This window comes from Homo sapiens, chromosome 13 (assembly GCF_000001405.40).
Source record: "Homo sapiens chromosome 13, GRCh38.p14 Primary Assembly".
Classification (NCBI taxonomy): Eukaryota; Metazoa; Chordata; class Mammalia; order Primates; family Hominidae; genus Homo; species Homo sapiens.
In genome coordinates this window covers 35,062,137-35,082,323 of record NC_000013.11, presented here as the reverse complement: position 1 = coordinate 35,082,323, position 20,187 = coordinate 35,062,137, and the positions used below count along the sequence as shown (strand labels likewise).

Sequence of the window (20,187 nt, the reverse complement as noted above, 5' to 3'; positions counted from 1 at the left end):
CCAACAATGATAGACTGGATTAAGAAAATGTGGCACATATACACCATGGAATACTATACAGCCATAAAAAATAATGAGTTCATGTCCTTTGTAGGGACATGGATGAAGCTGGAAACCATCATTCTCAGCTAACTATCTCAGGGACAAAAAAACCAAACACCGCATGTTCTCACTCATAGGTGGGAAATGAACAATGAGAAAACATGGAAACAGGAAGGGGAACATCACACACTGGGGCCTGTTGTGGGGTGGGGAAGTGGGGAGGGATAGCATTAGGAGATATACCTAATGTTAAATGACGAGTTAATGGGTGCAGCACACCAACATGGCACATGTATACATATGTAACTAACCTGCACTTTGTGCACATGTACCCTAAAACTTAAAGTATAATAAAAAAAAAGTTACCAAAATGGAAATGATAAATACTCAAGGTGATGGTGATGATCAAATACCCTTACTTGGTCATTACACATTCTATGAATGTAACAAATATTCACATACACCTATAAATTTCGCAAAGTATTTTTAATCAACAAAATAAATTTTGAAGAAAAGAAAAAAATACTCTTAAAAACAAGATTCACTTTTTTATACTCCACAAATTGCTGTTAGATTATATAAAAAATCTTCTGTTCTTTGCAAATGAGTTGGCATAAAAGGTAAAAAATAAAAAGTTATGCAAACAAACATTGTTAATATCCTCCAAACTGTTTTCTCAAATGCCTCACACATATTGTCATTCCTGCCATATTTGCCTGTTGCAAAATGGAGATAAGCACTTAAAAAAAAAAAGCTTGCCCATCTTGAAAGCCATTAATAAATATTTAGATTGAATTTGTTTGTTTCTATGAAAAAAAGTTCAAAAAATAATATATGTATTTTATCAAGATAGCTAAGTAAATCCATTCACAAAAGCTGTCATATAAAATTTAATACCTAGATTCAGAGTATGGTTGCCCATTAATAAAGATATTGCAAAGGAAGTGTCTAAAGAAGATCAACTTCAACAATATTTTCACCACAAATACAGAAAATGCCAAGATAGAATTCAAAAATAATAAATAGCTAGGATTTGTACAAAAATTAGGCTCTAATAGGCAGATGCTCATAACCCTGATGAGATATACAGCCACCAGAAAAATAGGACTCCTGCTATTCCCCCATGAATTGCTGAGTGTGAGGCACATGAAACTTCCCTCTAGGCCTTCCAGCAGCAAGCCATACTACGAAGCATTTATGTATACATATTTCATTCGATGTTTTAAATCATAAAGTCATTGTGTTAAGGTAAACCTTTTAGCGGTATAAAAAGCCCTACTGATAAACTTGGGATGATGAATGCCAGCATCTTTGGTCTGACATTGGATCCTCATTAAAGCTCCACCAAGAGTTGCTGGAAGGGATCATACCTGGTCCTATTCACTATACATAAGATACCAAAGGTACCAACTCCTGTATCTCATTTCCATCTGTAAAAATATTTGGCAGTAAATAAATTTATGTGTCTCATGCCTGACTTCCACATTGATTTCACAGGAACCAATTAGTGCTAAACTTTTTACCCTTTGCTTCCTAACAGTGCTTATCTACTAGAACTCCTTATGTTTCTAAACCTATTTAAGTCTGGTCTTCAACTATATTAAAGATGTGCTACCTAGTGTACTTGGCTGAGTTACAAGGGATACATACCAAATACCCAAACTGCTATGAGTCAGCTTTACCGCCCCAAAGGTTATATGCCCTCCTCTCCATGGCAAAAATATTTTCTTCTTCCAGCTGAGCCTTATTGTAACCTACCCTCCAATTTCAGCTTGGACTTTCTGATAAAGAATATCTAGAAATTACATAATTAAAGGCAGAGGTTTTGCTCATAACCTCTTTGTCAGAGAATGTATGAATCTTCTTTTTCCATCAGATACGTAAGACCCCACTCAAGTCCCTGACTACTATCCTCAGTAAAGTAATGTCAAAATGATCCTGCAAAGGACTTCCCTGTTTCTAAATGCTGGATGCATTAATAGGCACCCATAGGCCACCAAGGGAGAGATCCTCAATGATATCAATTAAAATAATATGTACGACAGTTGTACTAGGAGGGACAAAAGTTACCTGCATGTTCTGGATATGGAAATAAACAATTTTTTAATTTTATATGGTACATGACCCCTATACTCTCTTGACAAAATAATTTGAAGGTGCCAACTCAGCATTAGGCAACCATTGAAAAGGGAGAATTGTGTTGTTCTAAAAACTACACAGTGCAGAAAGAAACAAGCATCTGTACCCATACTTCAGAAATAGGTAATATTACTATTATAATAATCTACTACTACTACTATGTCTTTAGTATGGGTACCTATACTATAGAAAATTTATCATTCAAGCCATGCAGTATGTCTTGACACTTCCTATAGAAAAAGTATAAAACCACCATGAATTACGTGAAAATGAATAGTTGCAAAAGGGCCCACATCCCATGAGAAGTAAAATTTTAGGGAACGTTTTGGAATAGCTTAGTAGTGAGTGACCTAACCTACTTTCTAGATAAAATGTAACAAACATGGTGGACTATTTTCTATTATTTCTGTGTAGCTTAACAAATGATTTTATTCTAACCAGCAAATGAGGAATATGTGCTTTCTTAGGTAAAAAGATACCATCCATGCATTCTATATGGGACAAAATAGCCACATTTTTATTAGTATACTATCTACACTTTTATTAGTGGTATACTAAGAAAAAAATTGCCAGACTACAGCAGACCAAAAATTGAGACCTATATTCTTTACCATTTAGTTTTAAATGAAACAGTTTCTCTTTAAAGCTTACATATTTGGATTCTGGCTTATTGAATGAATATGTGAGTTTCTGTCTTTTAACAGTTAATAGTATCTCTAGGTTATATAACCTGTTACTTTATATTAACAGTTGCTTTATGGTTCTATTCCCATTCCCTTGTTTTCCGTATTTTTGTAACCATTACATTTTTAATTTTTACTTTCTCCAGTAAATCCAAAAGAAGGCACATATACAGTTTTTAATTCAACGAGAAGTTACCAAAAGGAATTAGAAAAACATTCTTTGTTTTTTCCCCCACACCTGATTTTATATCAGAATATTCTACAATGTCTGGCAAAAATATAGACTTTGGCCATCATCTCTAAATTCTGATAGTATTGTCTCAATGTCAGCCTTATGGTATTCTGCTATTTCATACAGGGTCATTTTGTACCCTAAATTTTACCAAAATTTTCTTCTGAATTCCTCCTAGTAGGTTTTGTTTTTTGTTTTTTGTTTTTAAAGACACAATCTCGCTCTGTTGCCAGGCTGGAGTGCAGTGGTGCGATCTCGGCCCTCTGCAACCTCCGCCTCCCGGGTTCAAACAATTCTCCTGCCTCAGCCTCCCAAGTAGCTGGGACTACAGGCACGTGCCACCACACCCCACTAATTTTTATATTTTTAGTAGAGACAGGGTTTCACCATGTTGGCCAGGATGCTCTCGATCTCTTGACCTCGTGATCCGCCCGCCTGGGCCTCTCAAAGTTTTATAAGTCGGCTTGCCTCAAGTCTTCAGGATATGGGTTTCCTTCCTGTGCACCGTAATACTTTTTCATAAGTCCCATGGGAGATTGCATTATTATTCCCAATTACCGACTTTTCCATCTCAGTAAGAAGATTATAAATCCTTGCCTATGGCCAAAGACTTACTTTCCACCCCCACTTCCAGGACATATATTTTACAACCAAATCCCCTCATTGAAGTTGGGCTTGGTTGGTCATTCTTCGGCTAGCAGATTGAATATGACATTCATCTCATTTGACCAGAAGCTACAAGAGCAATTGTATTGTTTAACTCAGATTCTTGCTCTTCTTTGACACAAGAAAAACATATTCCATATCACAGCTAATCTTTTAGGACCCAGAATGAGAAGACACAGGGAACACAGCACAACCAGTTATGAAAAAACAATTAACTTTTGTTGTTTTATGAGGCTACCAGATTTTGAGGTTGTTTGTTACTACAGCTATAACTAGCAAATGCTGGATAATGTAAGTTCTATGCTGATAGGTTTCTCTGTGCTGATTATTAAACAAGATCTGTTAAACAGGGTATTGGCCAACAAATAATGGGTCATTTGGTATACAGATTACCTATGGCTTTGCTTATTGTCCACTTGCATGACAGCAGACACTCCATCTCTATTCTGAAGCTGAAAGCCAGATTTAAGCGCACAGAAACCTTCCCCTTTATTTATAAAGCAGGTAGTAAGACTCCAAGACACCTTAAATGAAGTATTCTGTTAAATCTCCTCCCTAATTCACTGACATTATAAATCCAAGGACTGCAGAAAAACCATGTTCCCAACTATACACTGTTGCTGAGGCCGTCCCTATTTGTAGCACCTTTTATTCATAAATACATGTTCTAGAATGTCCCTGCTAGCATTTTCCACCCTTTGTCCTTATTGCTATATATAGGAATTTGGGTTTGGAAAGACTATCAAGAAATGTGACTAGAGAAGATAAGTAAGCATGACCAAATCAGATAATGACTTTGTTCTGAGGCAACAGGAAACCAGTGAATGACCACTGGTGTGAAATAATTAGATTTGTATTTTAGAAAGATAACTCTTCTACCCATTGAAAATTACTGGAAAAGGGCAACAGCAATTACTGGATATATACTAGCTGAAGTAATTAATAATGGGAACCTAGACTAAGGCAGTAGCAATATGGATGGAGGGGAAAGGGTAGCTTTGTGAGGTATTTAAGGAATAATATCAATAGTTTATCATGATAGATTGTATGTGGGAAATACAGGAACAGCTAATATTTTAATTATTCAAAGGGAGGAAAGTAACTGATGAGTTCTCTTGGGGTTCTAATTTAAGAGACTGCCTGGAGACAATGTTCCTCAGTAACATTAGAAAATCAAAAGCAATAGAAATTGGGTAGATGAGAAGTTTATGAATTTTTATTTGAGTCATGTTAAGTTTGAGATACTTTCCACATGGAAATATTCCATCAATGGTTTATGTGTATAAGCCTAAATTGAAGGCAAGCTAGAGATAAGCACTGGAAGTTACCAGCCTAGGTAACAAGATTGTGGACCTAAAAATCTGAGTAGAATTAGAAACAAAAACCAATAAAATTATAATACTAAGTTAGCTAGAATCTCCTTAGTATGCTTTACTAAATCTTTTCTTGAAAATTCCATTCATTACATGTTATGGTCATCACATCTCACCCCTGGATGGAAAAAGAAGAGGGTTTAAACACTTGTGACAATCAGTATTATAGCTACAATCTATTAAAAGTATTCTGGGTTTCTGAGGATGAATTATGGCATGTGGTAATACTCTTTATAAAGGCAAATAATATTTATTTTAGTTTTGGGCTGATGCCATTATACCTGCACGACTGTCATAAAATCAAAATAAATGAAGGAAGGTAATGTAAGACAGTTAAAAGAAATGAAATCTATGGCATGAGTAAAATAACAATACTCCTGTTAGAAGATAGTAAGACTGAAAAATTAAAGACAACAGAATGTGGAAATGCAAACTAGAAGAAAATTAAGGCAACAAATTTAGTGAAGATGTGTCCATGGTCGCCAGAATTTCTGCAAGGAATAATTTGTAGTTAATCTTATTGCCAAAAAGGTGCCTTTTTTCCACAGCAAGAGAGAGGGAGTGAAGGGTCAAAGATAAAAGCATAAACCTTGTAACAAGACAAAGAAAAATTTACAGAGAAAAATTAAGTGTTGAAAACTAAACAACACAAAGTAGTATAGCATTGAAAGTGGCTGTCGCTAAATTTAAAAAGAAGAAAAAGCTATTTGAAAATTAAATGTAATGTTTCCTGATGTTTCAGACAGAATAATGTATTTTACTTTTTACTACTTATAAATTCATTTGCATAGTGAATTCAATATATATTTCATTTTACTCTGCTTAAATCTCACTAACCAAATTACTTCATTTTTCTCTTCTAAAAGTAGTAGTGCAAGTACATCAAATGTATTTTTTTGTGTCTATCACTTCAAAATGTTTTCAGTACCAATTTAGCAATTTTTTTAAAGGCAAACAAAGTGATATGAATCTTAAGACATATCAGTGGTATATTCTTTCCGAAAAACCTAAGTAAATATAACTGTATAAACTATAGCCTAATACAAATATTTTAAATGTTTTTGGAAACTAAATTAATAATTATATTCTATATATAAGAACCACCACCTCCATAAGATAAGCAATTATTATAAACAGGTACTAATTTTAATTATTTTCCCTATTAAAAACAATCACATATTATTTTTAAGTCAGATTAAGTTGGATTAAGAGTATGTAATAAAATTTTAACGCTGTATATAATAGATATTTTTTCTGAATTAAAAATCAGGAAACATGGTCAGATAAAGGATTTTCATGTCACTTCTAAGTGTATGAGGAAATCTGGCTAAGGCAGTTAGACGCTGAAATATTTAAATTTTCCAGGTAATTCTGTTGCTTTATGTATTACAATAGTGCTAATCAGAATATTAGAATGAAATACTTAATTATTAAGGGGCTGCTTAATTATTAAAGTGGCTGTAAAATTCAAGTTAATCACTGGAATAACTTTGATTAATTAGCAAGGTAATCTTAAAAAATAAATTGTGATTTAAGTTCACTAAACAAACTAATGAGTCATAAATATTCACATTACAAGAGGACTGTTCATATGATAGGACTGTTGACATAAATGCTTTATGGGATTCTCTAAACACTTTTATTTCTTACATTCCATCCTTCTAGCAAACAAACTGTATTTATTGTAATTTTAAAAAATGCTTTTCCTAGAAAAATATTCATATACTTAAGATAATTTATTTAAATTATCACATGAAATTTCTACTTTATAAAAATGATCATAGTTTACAATAACATTAAAACTAAGTTTTAATAATTAAAAAGTTGCATCTAACCAATAGACTAGTAACTCACGGAAGAAAGTAAAAAGAAAACTCATTAAATGCCAGATGCTATGTACAGACGCTATGACAGATACTTTACATGTCTTATTTTAATTCATATTACAATCAGATAAAGTTGGCACTTATTAAAATCATTCCACAGCTGGCAAAAGTGATTCTCAGAGTAGTCCACAGTGGTTTAGAGTCAGAGCTCTAGAGTCAGGCTTGCAGGATTAGAACCCTGGTTCTGCCACTTATGTCTCTGTGATCTTGAACAAGTTATTCAATTTTTCTCTTCTTCATCAGCAAATAATTACACTAAAATACATGACTGGCAAAATTCAAATATACAGAGATAAAAAACAAAACAGTGGCTATCAGGGAAAAGGGACACAGGGCTTGGAAGTGGGGAGATGTAGGTTAGAGTAAATAAAGTACCAGATATGTAGGTTGAACGAGTACATCTAATGTACAACATGAGGACTGTAGGTAACAGAATTATATTTTGTATGTGATTCATAATTAGTACGTTTTAGCCACTTCCCTCCCCCCAAAAAATAGGTAACTATGTGAGACAACAGACATGTTAATTTGCTTCACTATAGTAACCTTTTTACTATTTATATGTATCCCATAACATCATGTTGTATACCTTAAACATACACAATAAAATTTATTTTTTAAAAATAAGTGACTAGCACACAGTATGTATTCAATAAATGCCATGTACCACTACTACACACCCATGAATATCCCATCACCTAACATCGGACAGTATAAAACAGGACAGGGATTTGAGCCCAAATTTGTCTTCCACCAAAAGAACACTTACGCAATATATTACACTGGTTTCTAATGAAACTATTCTCCTGGTGTATTTTTAATTGTTTGATATACAAAACTCAATTTATACCTTGTTCCAGAAAACATAATTTTTTTTCAAAGCAAAACTGTCTTAGGTCACACAATGAGGAAGGTTTTATTTTGTATCACCTACATAATTACCCATGTTCTTAAAAACATAGCTCAATGTAAGAAAAATATGTACTCAATAAGATGTATGTACTCAATAACATGTACTCAATAAGAATATGTACTCAGTCTACATAATCATCCAATTCAAAGGAAAATAAAGTTTCTATTTAATTTCTTGAGTCATTCTAGACACAAAATACGAAAGCTATATTACTTCAGAGTTTGAGTTATGCTCAAAAAATTAATCACATACACAAAGTTGTACTAGTAATAAATACTAAATTCAAGATTTGAACCCATGTTTGTCTGACTTGAAAGTCCATACATAAAACAACTATAAGTGGCCTTCATAATTTAAAAAGTCACAAAAATTATCCAGCAAAAATAAATCCATCTTTGAAGACTCTAGAAAATGAAATTATTCCTTCAATAATTTGGGGTGGTTTTTTGATACAGAGTCTTGCTCTGTTACCCAGGCTGAAGAGCAGTGGTGTGATCACAACTGATGGCAACCTCCACCTCCTGGGCTCAAGTGATCCTCCTACCTCAGCCTCCCCAGTAGCTGGGGCTACAGGTGCATGCCACCATGCCCGTCTAACTTCTTCTATTTTTTTGTAGAAACGAGGTTTTGTCATGTTGTCCAGGCTGTCTTGAAATTCCGGACTCAAGCAATCTACCACTCTCAGCCTCCCAAGGTGCTGGGATTACAGACGTTAGCCACCACCCCCAGCCAATAATTTTTTAAAAATTCTAAATCCCCTATATAAAGTAAAAACTCATCAAAGTTGATAAAACAAAGTAGTAGTGCCAACAGAGGTAAGGCTTAAGAAACAATGAAAAGTTTCATTAAAAGGTACTACTTAGTAGAGAAAACTATGTGGAAGATAAAATGCTTCAGCTTGAAACACAGAGGGCAAAGAAGTAACTTATATTTGAGCTTAGCTCCATTTCTCAAAAAAGTAATTAAAAATTAGACAGTATTGCAACTTTCAGTCATCTATTTACCATGCAATCAGACTTCCAAAAAGGAGTATATTAAATTTTCTCTGTAAGATTTAAAAACTTCAAATTGATTATCCTTAATCTAGAACAATTTATTATCAACTAAATAAGATGATAAATCCTATTTCAAGGTCCCAATCATCGATATGAACTGATGATATAGCCATAAAACATAAAATTCTATCACCCCTGCATAGCCATGAATCTGTATTTTTCAAATAGAGGGAGAAATCCCACTTAACAGCTTGCAAAATCACAGACTATTTCACTGATGCACATACTTTTCTATAATGGTTCCCTATAAAACATTAAATAACAAAAGACTGTATTACTGATCCACACAATTGTCTGTACCAAAGAGCAAATCTCAGATATTTAGGATACTGAAATAATTAATGAAAAAGTAATAGATAAGAATTAAAAATAGTACATAACTAAATCACAGGGTAGCCTGGAATTGAGTACGTATTAAAGAGGAAAGCAGTATCATTCTTGTAATGTTTTCTATTGGCTAAACTATAAACAGGGCCAGGCATAGTGGCTCTCGCCTGTAATCCCAGCACTTTGGGATGCCAAGGCAGGTGAATCACTTGAGGTCAGGAGTTCAAGATCAGCCTGGCCAACATGGTGGAACCCTGTGTCTACTAAAAATAAAAAAAATTAGCTGGGCATGGTGGCAGGTGCCTGTAATCCCAGCTGCTTGGGAGGCTTAGGCAAGGGAATTGCTTGAATCTGGGAAGCAGAGGTTGCAGTGAGCCAAGAGATCACACCACTGCACTCCAGCCTGGGCAACAGAGTAAGACTCCATCTCAAATAAATAAATAAACAAACAAACAAACAAACAAAAGACATAATAGACATCACTGAAAAGGTTGGAATTAGTTAATATAGGGAAATATTAGGATGATTTAAAGAACTAAAATCAAAATGAAAATAGGTATGCTGACTCCTCACACTATCTTTTATCTCCACGATGAAATAAATACAATTTAAATACCAAGATATAATATAAATATTAAATGAGTTTTGAAGAAAGACAGTAAAAAGTAACCATGTGTCTTGGATGAATAAACCAAATAACCTATTACATATGGTTTTAGCAGTAAGATTTGATAATATATGTATTTCATATTATTTCATAAGAAATATTTAAATTAATACATGGATTTTTCTAGTGGCTACTTCATCTCCCACTTCTTTTCACAGTACTGACTAGATTTTAAATACTGATCATAATATGTCCTAGTTCACTGAGATGATAAATAGTAAAACATTTTGAATTTAAATAAAGGACTGAAATTTAAAGTTTGATTTTTCCACTAAGCTGAGCTGCCTTCCAATTAGATTATTTAAGATCTCACAAGCAAAATAGTATCACAGCAGGACATAACCTCAGGATTCCTTTTCACTTCAAAGCTTTTTACTTTCAAAACTCCAACCTTTACACTATATTGATATAAAAGAAGGCAAGACCCATAGACGGGAGGTGAATGTTATAAATGTACAAATCTCATATCCATATTTAGATTTATACTTTACATAAAGATGTTCCCAAAACAGAAATAATATTATTAGAAATACTAAAATGGAATTTCATTAATAGCTAATTTAGATAATAATTATGAGAAAAAGCATTTCATTGTACCTTAAATTTTTCTCATATCTTCATTCACTAGATTCGCCATCAATTCAAAATTAGATAACCCATTAAGGAGCTCATGTATATGTATATATATACACTAATGAAGCACTACTATGTTACTTTTGGAATAAAAATTAATGCTTATCTATATAACTTGCCCATTAAAATCCCCAAGCATGGCAATGTGTATAATCAAAATAGCTACTACAATTCATTTTTAAATTCTTGTATGTATAATTCTAAGATATAACATTAAATTAGAGTCTGGCACATAAGGTTTTTTTTAATAAAAGAGAAACTATAAAAATGTACATGAAATCACACTCATTAGAAGAGATTTAATTTTTACATAAACATGGATTTGCCTGGTTAGATTGAGTCCTCACATATAAACTATATATAAATAAGGGCTGATGTCAATTAATATTATGCTAGACTTATGCCATGACAAAAGCATTATAAAATAATACCATTCTTTAAGATATAAATTATGTAATTGCTAATAAATGTTATTCTTCTGAATAACTTTACCCTAGTAATTTTCTTCAACCTGACAGGGTTTCATGGTCAATTCAAACCATGAGTATATGCAAATGATAAGGTCAGGATTAATATTTTTCCCTCAACTACATATTATAATCATTATGCTATCTTTGGTAAGAATTTTCTATTTATTATCAAGGAAGGCATTCCTTTATGATATAACAACCTAAATGTCAGCGTTTTCTTTATTTATTGTATAAATATCTATCTCCATTAGTTCTAAAAAATTTTTTATTACACTTTAAGGGCAGAACCCAAATACTGTAATACATTTACACAGCACTGAGTACATCATGCATAGTCTTAAGTGTGTATAAAATACCAGCAATTGTACATGCAAAGAAAACTTACCAGACAGTTGTTTCCACTTGACTGTCATTGAGCTGCCTATTATCCAATTGGGCAAAAAGTGGAAAAAGCACTTGAATCCCTCCAATTGAATGAATTGCACTATGAATTGAATGTGTTACTATCGCTTTCACATCCTATGTCCAAAAACAAAAATGTTTATTAAACTTCTATAGAATGATTTCATCACTATTTCCTTGTTCCAAATACCTTTATAATAGAATTAAATAACATACTTGGACATTTTTAAGCCTTCAATTATAATTTTTATACACATATAAGACAAAAAAGTGAATACCTTTGCTAATCACTTTTAAATTTCAAATCTTAGGTTGAGGCATTTTCACACTAAAAATATTAAGTTAAAATCAAACGTTATTTTAAAATCAGAAATACTATTGATGGATTTAAAGACAAGTAATTTTAATGTTAGAGAATATTAGTAATACATTCTTAAAGCAAAGTATGTTTTTATATCTAACAACTAACTTATTCAGTTAATTGATTTAATTTCAAAGGCTATATAAGATAATGGATATGACAGATTTCCTACTAAGGAGACAAGGCCAGGGTAGAGTATATTGCTATAGAAAAGAGAGATATTCTTTAAAGTTTCACTTAAAAGATCTGCAAAAGCCAAAAAAGAAGCAAAAAAATCATAGATTTATAGATGAGCAATGTTTGATATATAAAATAAAGATACTGTCAAATTCTGACAAGAACATGAAAACAAAGCCACGATTCACCCACCTGAAGCATTAGAGCATGTGGGGAATGCACAAAAATTGATGCATTCTCTTTTGGTGATGATTCCAGGCAGAGCTGAGCATCAGTGGCCTTAGCATTATATGTAAAGGCAATGCTACTTGCAAGTTTCCCATCATATAACACCTGTTTATGATGTTCTGCCAAATGAATATCACTCTCAGATTTAAACTTGAAGGTACTCTGAAAAAATAAAACTAAGGTAAACACTCTTTTTAAAAGCAACAATTACACTCAAAAGTTTTAAAGCAGAGAAACATTTACAATAATAAACTACTTGTGTACCTTTCATGTGTCAGGGACTATTCAGTGGTATTACTTACTTTGTTATTGTCACTTCAATTCAATGAGAGTTAAGTTTTATTATGCCAATAAAAATGCTCAGATCTTCATTTTCTAATTTAAAGTTTTTGATTACTGGCAAAATCATTTCATTAGAAAAAATATCAAACCTGATATTATATATAAATAGGATGTTACTTGACTACATCAGAGCTTAAGTTGAATTTTTCTTGTTAACACTTTAAAAAGTATTTGTGTAAATAAACAGTGCCTGGCACATGAATTACTTATAGAGAAAAATGACTATCATTTGAGGCTATAAAAAGTTAACATGTAAAAATATTCACATCTTTACTAAAAAGCAAATCAACCTATGAAATACCAATGCTACTCAATAATAATATCACAATATACATACAAAACTCAGAAGAGAAGTTCATTAAAACATGTTATTACTTTTTATGAAACACAAGAACTAAACCTATGCCATCTATAACAAGAAAGGTATTGTTAGATGTGGTTAAAATTGCTCTGCAGATATGAATCTAATAATGATAAATAATATTTAACCTTTGCAATAATCACATATCAGTATTACTATTAATTTCAACTTACAACTATGAAAACTGAATGTTACAGAAATTAAGATGTAGAAGGGGCCAGCACGTAATTCTAAGTCTTCTGATTTATACTCCATATTCAATGTTTCGATAGTGAAATCATCTTAAAATCCTGACTCTGCCACTAATTATCTTTTTCATGCTGAGCAAATCATTAGGCTGATGTGGCTCTAATTTTCTTACTCTAATGTTATAAGGTTAAATTAAATGTCCCAAACTCAAGTTCTTACGGGAGGCATACAGATATGCATATAAGTGAATTGGGCCAGATGGGGACTTCCTCAAACTAGAGAAGATTTGTCCTTTCTAAAAGTGGCCCCCACTCCTCAGCTCAAGTCAACTGTTCAATGTTGCTAGTTCTTCCATATTTTTCAAGAGAAACATGAAATCTGAATTTTTATCTAAAATCACTATATTTTAAAATTTAATTCAAACATTTTAACACTGTGCAGACCAAACATGTCAGTTTTTACTTCTGGACTAGCGTGTAGAGACTATCTAAAAGAAAACTGGATGCAAACCATTAGTTATCAGGCATGTGCCAAGACAAGAGCAACATGAACGATTAAAAATTTGTGTATGCTGTAGTCTGAAGTATGTCATTGATAATACTTTTTTTTGAATGAGGAGGGTAGTGTTATCACTAGAATGCTTAAGAACTCAGCATACCTGCATTCAAAAAAACAGTGACTGAATTAAAACACACAGATAAGTTGTTAAACACTGAAATCAGCTTTCCGTGTCTGCAATTTACCACTGCTGAAACATTTGTACATCCCATTGTCTAGAACAAAACTCTTGCTTTCATTTTGTTCATACTGCTTACACTGGAATTAACAAATTTTAATATATTCTCTTAAAAGATTTAAAATCATTTTGTGGAAATGTAAGATATCTAATAAAACCTATTTTTATTTGGAAAAACATTGATTGGTCTTAGTTTTTCTGAGTCCATGATACATACCATACGCTATTTTGGTTTGTAGGAGGAAAACAAGTTTATGTAATAAATCTACAAGTTTTAGGTTTAAAAAAAGTGTATAATGTAATTTCAATATAAACATAGAATCCATTAAATGAAGAAAATTTTCTTATCTTTCCTTACTTGCAGTATTAGGTTATTTCTATGTCTTTAAATTTATATATAAAGGCGGACATGTACTATGCTTACACCTGTAATCTTAGCACTTTGAGAGGCCAAGGTGGGAGGATCACTTGAGGCCCGGAGTTTGAGATCAGCCTGGACAACACACAGAGAGACCCCATCTCTACCAAAAAATTAAAAATTAGCCAAGTGTGGTGTCACACGCCTGTAGTTCCAGCTCTTCATGAGGCTGAGGTGGAAGGATCACCAAGTCCAGGATTTTGAGACCACAATGAGCCATGATCATGCCACTGCACTCCACCCTGGGTGACAGAGTGAGACCTTGAGTCTTAAAAAATTTTTTTTAAAGAAAATATTTTACATAAAAGTATAAGCCTTTATATAAATATCAATGTTTACCGTATTATTTCTTTCAGAAGGATTTTCAGAGGAAGAATTATTATATAAATCTGTATGACTAGGAGGAGATGGATGAGAATGAGGAGTGACTGCAAATAGGCAGGTAGGATCCTTCTGGGGTGATAGAAATGTTCTAAAATTAAATTGTAGTGATGTCCGCACAACTTTGTAAGTTTATAAAAAAATAATTGACTTGTACACTTAACATTAATGATTTGTATGGCATGTAAATTACACTTCAATAAAACTGTTATAATTATTTTAAAAGAAGAAAAGAAGGTATGAATATATTTTGTACTAATTACACTCAAATAAGTAGAGTATGATGCATTCTTTTCAGTATGGACCACTTCAGCATAACAAAGAAGGTAGATGGAAGCAAAGTTGTACTGAGCTAAGGAAACGACTCCAAGTGGTAACTGAATCCACAGAAACAAATGAAGAGATTCATAAATGATAAATCAGAAGATCAATATAACAAAATCTATAAACATATACTGTATCTTTCTTCTCTCAGCTTCTTTAAAAGACACAATTATATGAAGTAATAATTACGTCATGTTGGGTTCGTAACATATACAGATACTATATGTATAACAATAATATCACAAAAACAGAGAAAACAAATAGAGCTCTATAGAAGTAACATTTATATAACTCACTAGGATAAAATTAATATAAATCTGGGGCTGATTCCAGTGAGTTAAGATGTATATGGTAAGCTCTACTGCAATCACTAAAGAAATGTTTTTTAAGTGAAAAAAATTATTTAAAAATTGAAAATGCTATATAAGAAAATAAGCACATAATCCAAAGAAAGCAGTAAAGAAGAAATAAAGAAATAAAAAGAACATGAGACACATAGCTAACAAAAAATAAAATGACAGATGGAAACCTAATTATCGATAATCACATTAAAGATGAATGAAATAACCAATCAAATCAAAAGGCAGAGATTGTCAGACTGGATAATAAAATAAGATTCAATAACATACTGTTTATAGAATATTCAAAGATAAAAACATATTTAAAGTAAATAAAATGGGAAAAAATCAAGAAACCACAAGAAAGCTGGAATGGCTGTGCTAATATCGGACAAAATAGACTTTAAAACAAGATATATTACTAGATATTAAAAAGACATTGGATAATGATAAAAGGGCCAATTATCAGGAGGATATAGCAATTGTAAACATATGTGCACCCAACAACAAAGCATCAAAATACATGAAGAAATCTCTGAAGAAATGAAGGGAGAAACACACAACTTAATAATAATAGTTGGGCACTTCAATACTCAACTTTCCATTCATAAGATCAAGAAGGAAACTGAAGATTTGAACAAAAACCAAACAGAACTAACAGACATCTCTAGAACACACCATCCTAAAACAGCTTAATACACATTCTTCTAAAGTACACATAGCTGGGCTCAGTGGCTCATGCCTGTAATCACAACACTTTGGGAGGCTGAGGTAGGAGGATCACTTGAGGCCAGGAGTTCAAAACTAGCTTGAGCAACAGAGCAAGACCCTGTCTCCATAAAAAACTGAAAAATTAGTCAGGCACAGTGGCTTGTGCCTATAGTCCCAGCTACCCAGGAGCTGAGGCAGGAGGATAGCCTGAGCCCAGGAGTCTAAGGCTCCAGTGTGCTAGGACTGCACCACTGCACTCCAGCTTAGGTGACAGAAGGAGAGACCCTGTTTCCAAAAAAAAAATGTACACACGAAACATTCCCTGAATAGACCAAACTCAGGTCATAAAACAAACCTGAATAAATTTATGAAGACAGATATAATACAAAGTATATTATCTGTCCAAACTGGGATGTTAGAAATCAATAATATAAAGGAATTTGATGAATTCACAAATATGTGGAAATAAACACATTCCTAAATAACCATCATGTCAGTAGTTACTCTCAGGGTTCAGGAAAAAAACTGACTGGGATAGTGCTTGTAGCTTTCCTGTAATTTTTATTTTACTTTTAAATTTTAAAATGAGAGAGAAATAAAGAAGGAGATAAAGATTTAAGAGAAAGTGAAATATGAGGAGTGATTTAAGAGAAATATTAAAGATAAGCAAAGTAAATAAACATGCATAGTCAAGTGTCTGGAGAAGAAAACCAAAGCAAGGAAATAGAAGAAATTCTAAAAGTATAGTACAAGAACAATTTCTTAAAATATGAAAAGATGCAAACTACATATGAAAGTGGACACCACATACCTGAGAAATTAACTCACAGTGACCAACACCAATACATATCTACCAAAATTACTAGATATAAGGAAAAAGAAAAAAAAAATCCTTTGAACATCTAACAAGACTAAGTGCCTTGTAATGGAGAAGATACTACATTGTCAACAGGCTTTCAATACCAATACCTCATGCCAGAGAAAAATTAGTAGCATATTTAAGACATCCAAAGAAAGAAAAGTCAGGGATTTTATAGCCAGGCAAAATGGCTTTCAAGTATAAAGTATAAAGCCCCTTACAAACTAGTATCAAAATGCATTTCTCAAGAAATACTATTTCCATGAACTCTTCCTGAGGAATCTACTACAGAAAGAGCTAAAACACAGCCGAAACACATCAATATAAGGAAATAATATAAGCCTTAAACACACAGGTACTTATAGAACTATGATTAAGTAAGAGTTAAGAGTCAATGGTATGTAGTGACTGTGTGCGCTCACAACACAGATAAGACCTTGTATTAGCTTGCTGGGTCTGCTATGAAAAAGAATCAGAGGCTGGATGGCTTAAATAAAAGAAGTTTAATTTCTCATAGTTCTGGAGGCTGTAAATCTGACATATGGGTGTCAGCAGGGTTTTCTTCTGGAGACTCTCTCCTTGGTTTGAAGACAGTCTAACCACCTTTTCTTTCCTGTGTCTTCACATGGTCTTCCCTTTGCGTGTGGCTGTGTCCTAATTTCCTCCCCTTTATAAGGATACTAGTCACATTGGATTAGGGCCCAATAACCAAATGACCTCACTTAACCTTAATTACCTCTTTAAAGACCCTGTCTCCAAAAACAGTCAGATTACGGGCTACTGAGGGTTAGAATTTTAGTGAATTTTAGGGGAACATAATTCACCTTGTAACATACCTCAACTATTTTAAAAATGGCAAGATGGAGAATGAAGATAACATATGCAAAAACAAATTAACTGTATTTTCAGTAATTATAACAATTGGGCATTATTGATATTGTTATTCTGAGACTGTTCTTTATGTATAATTACAGGATTTTCTAATCTATTATCCTGTGTCTATTTGACAATCAGTATCCTCAATGAAGAAGAAAGGAGATTTAACTTCAAGTAGGTCAAGTTAAAACACCACACTCTCCTGCTTTTTCTCCTTATTCCCTTGTTCTCCTCATTCTCCTTTGCTGGTTCCTCTGCATCTCCTCAACTTACAAACACTGGCTTTCCCAAGGACTCATTTCTCAGTTATCTTTTTCTCTGAACTCACTTCACTGGTACCTAAATCCAGTCCTTTACCTTTAAATCCTGTCCATATCCTGCCAATGCCAAATTTCTATCTCCAACCTGTATGTCGCCTCTGAACTCCAGACGTTCTTCATTTTTACATTTAGATGTCTATCAGGCATCTCAAACAACTATGTCCATAACCTATGTCCATAACCAAATATTTGATCTTCTCTGCCAAAACTTATTTCTTTATAGTCCTCCCCATCTCAGTAAATGACAACTCCATCAGCTCAGTTTTTCAGCCTAAAATTCATGGGGTCACTTACTTGCTCCTCTCAATCCTCTCTTGCTCCCTTACCCCATGTTCACAGTGACAGAAAATCCTACTGGCACTACCTCCAAAGTATATCCAAAAGCTGACCTTTTAGAGTCTTAGATATTTTAGATATGCTTTATCAAAAATCTAATCGAGTCTCAATACTTTCCAGAGCTCTTTCACTAAATAACTGCAACAGCCCCCTAACTAGTCTCCCTATTTCCACCTTTTCTCCCTATTTACCAAAGTAACCAGAGTGATCCTTTTCAAATTGGTATCAGGCTGAAAACTTTTCAATGGCTGTTCCTCTCACTCAAGAGCAAAAATAAAGTCATAACAATCCTCTGAAAGCATGTAATTGTTCTCTGAATTAATCTTCCTTGACTCTTCCCCTTGCTCCTTCTGTAACAGTCACAGGAAAACAGTCACAATGTTCTTTAATCTGTGAAGTAAGCTTCTGCTAATGGCCTTTATTCTGGCTCTGGCATTTGCCCTTAAAGCTCTTCCCCGTATATCCACTTGGCTAGCATCAACTTCCAACTTTTTTACCTGCTTTGTGTGTCTCATAGCTCTTATCACCATATAGACACTATATATTTTTCTTTTGTTTTGTAATCTATCTTCTCCCATGATACTGCACACCCTACTTCTCCAAAATACAGGCAGGGGTTTTGTTGGTTTTAATTGTTATATCCCTAGCATCTAGAACAGTGCCCAACTGCTTAATAAAAGAATGAATGGATGAATTAGTGAAGGCTAATTATTTGTATTTAGTGTACCTTATCTGTAGTAGCTAGCACTGATTTATTTTGTTTTTCCTTTCAACTGAGCTTTTGTTACCTTTCATTTGAAAGAGGAGTCTACAACATATGCTGTGGGTAAATGAAATACTGGATACATATTTGGCCTATCATTCAAGAAAAGACATGCAATTTTGACTTTGTTAATTTTGTTTTAGCCATTGAATTGTAGTCAACATCACTCTATCAAGATGCATTGTAAAATACAGCAACTTTTCAACTACGTAGGTGCATTTATAGCCTCTCCACAAATCTTTCTGTTAGTTGTCATATGTATTACATGTATATACTCCTAATCATCCAGGTTTTCTTTTTCAGTCAGTAATGACAGTCAAATAACAACAAATTTATTTAATTTTCTTTCAAAAGACTTAAAGAATATTTTCACCGGATAAAAAAATTCTAGGTTGACAGATTTTTTTTCTTCCTTTCAGAACTTTAAGGATTTTGTTCCACCTCTATGGCTTTACTGCTTTCTGATGAGATGTGTACAGATATTCAAATTATTGTTCCCTTATCAATGTCTAGTTTTCCTCTGCCTGATTTCAAGATTTTCTCTTTATTTTTGGTTTTCCACACTTTGACTGTAATGTGCCTACTTTGGTTCTCTTTGCATTTATTTTGGTTGGAGTTTTCGGAGTTTCTTCAATCTATAAATGTAAGCCTTTTACCAAATCTGAGAAGTTTTCTAACATCATTTATTCAAATATTTTTTCTGGCTTTCTCTTATACTGTGCCTATTAGACCTTTCAAAATTGCCCCATCCATCTCTAGGGTTCTATTTTTTTACCCCAATCTTTCACAACTCTCTTCAAAGTTTCTATCAATCTATATTCAAGTTCATTTACTTCTCTATCATATTAATTCTGCTAATAAGCCCATACAGCTTATTTTTAATTCCGATATATTTTTCAGTTCTAGAATTGCCATCTGACTTTGTTTTATTTCATGGCTGATACTTCCTGTCTTTTAATTCATTATAAGTAAATTTTTC

The 20,187-nt window shown here is 33.1% G+C and overlaps 1 protein-coding gene across 13 annotated transcripts in view; it reads right to left on the bottom strand.

The window, feature by feature from the left end:
* NBEA (neurobeachin) overlaps nt 1-20,187 on the bottom strand; it is a 730,467-nt gene that overhangs the window by 590,413 nt on the left and 119,867 nt on the right. For 12 of the 13 annotated variants that reach the window (XM_047430271.1, NM_001385012.1, XM_006719803.4 and 9 more), the window contains 2 exons: nt 12,219-12,416; nt 11,472-11,605 (listed from right to left, as the gene is read on the bottom strand). In XM_047430271.1, coding sequence (XP_047286227.1) covers nt 11,472-11,605; nt 12,219-12,416 — 332 coding nt within the window. Of the gene's footprint in view, nt 1-11,471; nt 11,606-12,218; nt 12,417-20,187 lie in introns of those variants that run through there. The other variant, XM_011535046.2, reaches the window with a different exon arrangement.